Source organism: Homo sapiens, chromosome 4 (assembly GCF_000001405.40).
Source record: "Homo sapiens chromosome 4, GRCh38.p14 Primary Assembly".
Lineage (NCBI taxonomy): Eukaryota > Metazoa > Chordata > Mammalia > Primates > Hominidae > Homo > Homo sapiens.
Genome location: NC_000004.12, coordinates 33,745,960 through 33,753,249, shown reverse-complemented (window position 1 = coordinate 33,753,249; position 7,290 = coordinate 33,745,960). Strand labels below are relative to the sequence as shown.

The following is a 7,290-nucleotide window of genomic DNA, read 5'->3' as shown; positions in this document are numbered from 1 at the left end:
CTCAGTGTTAGTCAATAGCTGTGGAATCTGGTTATGAATTCAAGCTCTATTAGTTAAAACTCACTGTAAAACCCAGAGTTGTAAACAAAACAAACAAGCAAACAAACCAGCAATATTTCCAGGAGAGAGAAAATGCAAGAGAAATTTGATGAAGTATTAGTGATTAGATATTTAAAATGCTTTTGTTTCAGGTGATGGCCTTGTGGCTGAAATTATTTTAAGTTTTTCTCCTTAAGAATCTCTGAATAATGTTTCAATCTAATTGTAAACACAATAAGATAACAACATCTATTAAAAACAGCTATGTACTGATGAAAGTATAATTTTAACTTTGATAACTATTATAATTGATAACACATTATCTCTGGACAACTAATAACACATAAAGAAGATGTAAAAATTGTGAGAGACGAGGTCAGGAGATCAAGACCATCCTGGCTAACACAGTGAAACCCCGTCTCTACTAAAAATACAAAAAATTAGCCAGGCGAGGTGGCGGGTGCCTGTAGTCCCAGCTACTTGGGAGGCTGAGGCAGGAGAATGGTGTGAACCCAGGAGGCAGAGCTTGCAGTGAGCCGAGATCGAGCCACTGCACTACAGCTGGGAGACAGAGCGAGACTCCACCTCAGAAAAAAAATTGTGAGAGAAAGCATGTTTTGGCAATTATGTTTTTTTCACCTGTGTATAGAGTTATGGGAATTTAAATTCAATGGAATCCTTAGCTTCATACAACAGTTAAGCTACTACTAATAGTGAGATATCTATCTTCTATTTCCTATCAGCTTCTTTGTACTTAGCATTTTTCTTAGTTACCGTATACAGAATAGTTACTGAGATCACAAATATTAGACTCAAGAGCTTATGATTTCTAGGAAAATAGAGGTATGATAGCCCATAGCTCATAATCAGGGCTGACATGCATCAAGTTTGCACCAAGATATTTTTAATAGTTTTCCATAGGGTCCATTCGGATTGGTCAAGCCTATGTTTTATCTGCTATTAAATATTGACTACTTCTGCTTATGATTAAAATAATATAAAAAATACCATGCAAATAATTAAGACTCTCCAGTACAGCAATTGCTGTAGACCTCTGTCATAATAATTAAGATATATTAGAAATTTTGCATCTACTTTTTTCCTCCCTATAATACTAGGAGCTTTCTGTAGATAGACAAAATGCCTTATCAATGTTTTTGTTCTTATAGACTTACACAGTGTTTATCATATAGTTAGTATGTGTTCCATAGGCATACAATGAAGTGAACATTAAACTACACAAAATTCAAGCCTGCTGTAATCTTATCTCTAGGAATAATGATTATTACAATTCTATATTTTTATGAATATCAGAATTGCCAGAGTGAGTTAAAATATTTTTAAATGCTAGTCAACCTTTATTTTTAGCTTCTTTTTTGTACTTGTGAATCCAATTTGAGAGCATTATGAGCTTAAGGGAAGGTGTTTATACAGAGGTAGTATCCTGATAATAAATTTCCTAGCATAGCAATGAGTCTTTAGTATGCTGTAGTAAATACTTATAATAGTATGCTGATTGTGGTACTGAATTTGACCCTATATTCTAATCTCCCTTTTCCAATTTCTTTCCATTTTCTTTGTGTCATCAGTCTTTGATCAGTTACATTTTCAATAAACGTAACATTTATGATTTTTAAAAACCTTACCCGATTTAACTATGGAATTTATATATGACAATACAAAATATGTAAGGACAAGGCCTTTGTCCTATTCATTGCTGTATCACTGAGAGTTTATGAAACATTTGGCACATGGAAGGTGCTCAATGAATAATTGATTATAAAAGTCTTCTACCAGTTTTTCTTGTTAAGATATTAATGAGATTCCCAAGAAAATGGTAACTGATTTCACAAATTCAAACTTAGTTATTCTGGTCAGGAATGTGTCTCTATACTTCCCCAAACTACTGTTCACTTCCCTCTAAGTCACTCTCTGTCATCTTGAAACTGACGTCTGTTAAGTTGATGCTACTTTACCTCTTCACCCAAATTATGAGCATAGACATAGTTTCGAATCTGTGTCCTAGATATGGAGAACTTCATGTTGGTACACACCTTCAGAATTACCTTTTTAGCCTCTGAGTTTTAAATAAAATTTATCGAGCTGCTTCTGTATATTTACACAAAAAAGGGCATATACTGTGTAATAAAATTCCATTTATTTAAATTGTTTATTAGTTAAATATAGTGCCCTTGCATCCAGGGAAGCAATGTGAATCACAAAAATACCAAGCCATAGTGAAGACAAAGTTATTAAGCTTGCAGTCACCTTGAGATCACAACTGTAGAGAAGAATGGGGGCTCTTGAGCTGGAAGATGAAACATGTTACTTGCCTTAAAATTCTTTCTTATTATATATTTAACATATAATCAAGAAATAACCATAAGTATACTCAGTCATGCAACCGAAACCGCTGCTCTGCTTGTGGAGTAGCCATTCTTTTGTTTCTTTACTTCTCTAATAAACTTGGTTTCACTTTATGGACTTGCCTGGAATTCTTTCTTGCACCAGATCAAGAACTCTGTCTTGGGGTCTGGATCGGACCCCTTTCTAGTAACAGTACTGCCACTGTTGTCATCAGAAAAAGCTTTATGTACAGAAAGATGTCAAGCTCATACTGGCTGATACAAAGTTTGAAATGTATTACTGGCAATATATTCTCAGTCGTTTACTTGAAATGATGGACTCATTTCATTCAACTTTTAATAAAATGTCTGTTCAATATGCAGGCCTGTGTAGCTACGGTTTGTTAACAATTATTTCAAGAATTCTATTCCATGGAAGAAGCAGCTAGTTCAGCTCTTAACTCAAATAATTGCCTAATTGGTTTTCTTTGGAACTGCCATCATACTTCAGTGTGCAGCAGAAGTGCTGTGTGCCTACACCCAGAACATTGATATGTACACAAGGATTGAGGTTTAATCAAATAACACAGTTTTTTTTTTTGTTTTGTTTTGTTTTTTTGATGGAGTCTCACTCTGTCTCCCAGGCTGGAGTGCAGTGGCACGAACTCGGCTCACTTCAACCTCCTCCTCCCAGGTTCAGGCCTTTCTCCTGTCTCAGCCTCCCAAGTAGCTGGGACTACAGTCTCCCGCCACCACGCCTGGCTAATTTTTGTATCAAATAACACTTTTAAATAATTCATCAAGAATATTCTTAAATAAAAGTGGTATTTTATTTTTGTGAGCATGAGGTGGTAAAGAACACAATGACTACCAGTACAGTTTTAGGCCTACACCATGATTTATGCTAATATGTCAGTAGTTTTACACAGCATTGCTTTTGCTCCATTGTGTAAATTGCTGCACAATACAAAAAAATCAATAAATAAAAAGCAAAAAAAAAAAGTCTTAGTATGCATATAAATAAATTATAAACTTGGGGCCATTATAATGAAAACAACTCCAGGAATTCCAGGGGTCCACAGATTGCGCTCTGAAATCTCCTGCTGTAGATGACATATTGATGGTGGCTTTGTAAAGAAGACAGTGTGTTTCAAAGTAATATAAAATTTTAAGACAGAATCTACTAAATGGCCGTTTTTAGTCTCAACGTATCAAGGGTTTAACAAATTTTGAAGTTAACAATGAGAAATAGTGACAATTTTGGAAAAGTGAGTGAATTAAAATTCCAGGAAGAAGTTTAGCAAGTAACCGGAGGAAGAAACCAGGAGAATCACTGAAGAAAGCTGCTCATTTTAAAAGTCGAAGAAAAGAAACCAGTGCCTCCAAAATTCTAAGCACTTTTCATATAATTTCTTTAAGCAAACTAATCGTTATCATTTACTTGTATCATTGCTTTATAAAATAATTATTTTGCTTTGTTTCATTTTGCTTTCCACAATACAGAAAATCATTTCATTATTTAGTACTACTTAATGTTGTCCACCATATACTATTGAAATTAAAAAAAATCTATCACATGCATCCAAATATTTAAAAAATTTCAGAAAAGCATTTTTATAGAAGAGCTGCATTGGTGATAGGTTGCTTTTTTCTCTTCCTTCCTGCATAATAGCCAAGTCTTATTTTGATACATCATGGATGTTTCATGTCATTGAATGATCTCCATCATCCTTTCTTATGACATCATATAATTTTATTTATAGACATAATATATATTTTACCTAAATTACAGTTTGAATATATTTTTAAATAAACAATGAACAGATAATTTACGATAGAAAAAGTACAAATTTTCCACATACATGAAATCATACTTAACCTGACTGAAATTCAATAGAACACAAATCAAAACAGTAATGAATTCTATTTTTCTTTATATGAACAACTTTTTTTTTAAGCCATAAAATTTATTGTCAAGGAACAAGAAGAAAATAAGGACTCTCATAAACTGGTTCTAAGAATATAAAATTTTACAACCTTTCTAGAGGGCAGTGTTTTGTATTTTGTGATGCATATAAAATGTTAAGATATACTTAGCTTTTCATTAGTTCATTGAATAATTTCTCAACAGATATGTATTGTTATGCTATGATTTTGTGTATATATGTATACAAAACTATATTGTTGCTGCCCTAATGCATTTAAAGTCCTGTATAAAAACATGTCTGTGCATAACTATATAATACAAATCATTTTGAAGGATGCTCACATGTTGTCGTAATGGAGAAGAGAACAGAGAACAGAGGTACCTCTTTAAAGAAGATATTCAAGGCAGGTCTGAGACCTGTAAGAGGGGAAGGAGCCAGCCATGGTAAAAAGCCTTGGAAAAAAATTCTAGCCAGAGGAGACATTAATGCAAAGTCTCTGGGGTAGAAGAGTTTCCAATCTTTGAGAAACTAAAAACATAATAAGCTTTGGAAAATATGCAAAAGTGAAAGCAAATATAGGCCAACAGAAAGAGCTTGGGCTCTATTCTAAGCCCTGTGCAGAGCTGAGGTCTTTCTTCTACTTGGCCTTCTTCTTGCTTCTGATGTTCAATTGTTCCCCAAGTAGGAATGAAAAAAGTCCCTCGCTTTTCTAAGGGTTCAAGCAGTTTAGTTGTCTGACAGGTACAGTGCTTTCCAGATCTGGTCACATGACAGGCAGATCTTGCAGGAATTCTCTGCTTTATCCCTGCCCATATAACAATTTCCCTGTTAATGATACACCCAGACTGTGCTAGTATTATTTGCATCGCATCCCTATGGAATTATTTTCTTTTACAAATTTATAGAGATGGCATGATGCAGAGCAGATCTGAACTAGTTTGCCACATATTCAATCTGTGACTTTCCGGCGTGGCTGTCATGGGAGTGCACCATGCACAGTGCCCTTTGAGAGAACCTGCTGCTCCCTTTCAAAGGTCTTCAGTGCATCCTTAGTGTCAGGCCTCTGAGCCCAAGCTAAGCCATCATATCCCCTGTGACCTGCAAGTATACATCCAGATGGCCTGAAGCAAGTGAAGAATCACAAAAGAAGTGAAAATGGCGGGTTCCTGCCTTAACTGATAACATTCCACCATTGTGATTTGTTCCTGCCCCACCTTAACTGAGCAATTAACCCTGTGAAAGTCCTTCTTCTGGCTCAGAAGTTCCCCCACTGAGCACCTCGTGACCCCCGGCCCTGCCCACAAGAGAAAAACTCCCTTTGACTGTACTTTTCCACTACCCACCCAAATCCTATAAAACGGCCCCACCCCTATCTCCCTTTGCTGACTCCTTTTTTGGGCTCAGCCCGCCTGCACCCAGGTGAAATAAACAGCCTTGTTGCTCACACAAAGCCTGTTTGGTGGTCTCTTCACACAGACATGCATGACACTTAGGTTTTGATTCTTTGTTGTTGTTCAGAGTAAAATATACAAGAAGAGATAAAGAAAATGTCAAAAGATGTTAATAATTGATAAACAGTTTAATATTGTTTGTTTTCTGATTCTTTCAACTCTTCTACAGGTGTAGGTTTTAAAATAAAATTTGAAGGGAAAAAAAGTTGTTTTCAACTTCTGCAACTTCAGATCCGTTGTAGTGTTCATGCCCAGACATGCCCAAGCAGCTGCCAGCCAATGACTGAGCACCATAGGGGCACTAAGTGTGGCTCTTCCTGCCAAATGTGGACTCCCCTAATGAGCAACTTGGCTCTGAAGCTCCCATCAGCCTGGGTGAGACTGTCTCCAAGCTGTACTGCAGTCTGAGGCTCTTCCTACCAAATTCACTTTGCTGTTCCTTTATTCCCAACTTTGGGAGGCTTTTACCAGCTCCTTCTCCTTTTTATGTTTACCTTCACCGACCTTTCCCCTAAGAAATACTGTCTGAAGTACTTTCTTCTTGGCATATTCTTCTCAAAGGACTCAAGTGTGACTAACCCTTTAGAGTACAGAATGAAGATCCAAGCTACATGCTGAAAACGAGAGTGAGTCAAAAGCCTTTCTATTTCTTTTCTGGCTGTCCATGTTACCCCACAGGTTGGCATGTACATTTAACACGATTATGTTTCTAAATTTAACTCCATCACTCTTTCTACTTAATGTAAATTCAGTTTGAATATACTTAATTCGAACTCTCATCCTGTTGTCCTCCTAAAGGTAGATAGGAATGTGTTGAGTGAAAGATGAAAGAGTTGATATTACTTGGACAGTTATCACCTTTTAAAATTATAATATTCCACTAATTTCTGATAATTAATTAGTATACATTCCTGACCATATAAATACATTTAAAGTCTATGCTGTTCTTTTGTACATTGGCAATTGTCTCTTTTTTATTTGCTGATACTGATATAGCTAAGTATTTATTTGATTCTTTGTATATTAAATAAAAGAGAATATTTGAGTCTCAAGTAAAAGCCAAAATATGCAGTACCATGATATCACAGTTAGTGATCTAACACAAAAGAAAATTTATATTTTTTCCAAATATCCACAATATTAGTAACTTTGAATAAACTACAGAACATTTTTAGAGTGTAAAGAACATATTTATTATATGAACCAAATAATATTGATATTATTATTAGGGCTTTGAATGTACCACTCAAACCCAATGGTCCAAAGAATAAGACCCACAAAGTCCAACAACACTGACATTTCAGCAAATAATTATTAACCCACAAACATATCCCACACACTTTTTTAGGAGATGTGGGAGTAATATAGGAAAGTAATAGAAGGTTCAGTCAAAACCACTTATAATATAATGGTACAAATGTATAAATGGAAGGATAGGATGTAATAAAATTAATCATTACAATTTTCAAATACCTATGAAACCCAGGATAAAGAGCATGTGAAGATACTGGGGAAACATTCAGGTAA

At 35.3% G+C, this 7,290-nt stretch overlaps 1 annotated feature.

Annotated features, from left to right (window-relative positions):
* Window positions 5,421-6,620: an enhancer, noted in NCBI's record as "MED14-independent group 3 enhancer chr4:33748252-33749451 (GRCh37/hg19 assembly coordinates)". NCBI's record gives its function as "activates an origin of replication core promoter dependent on BRD2, BRD4, P300/CBP and CDK7 cofactors, and independent of MED14, by STARR-seq in HCT116 cells {active_cell/tissue: HCT116}" and the evidence as "EXISTENCE:reporter gene assay evidence [ECO:0000049][PMID:35650434]".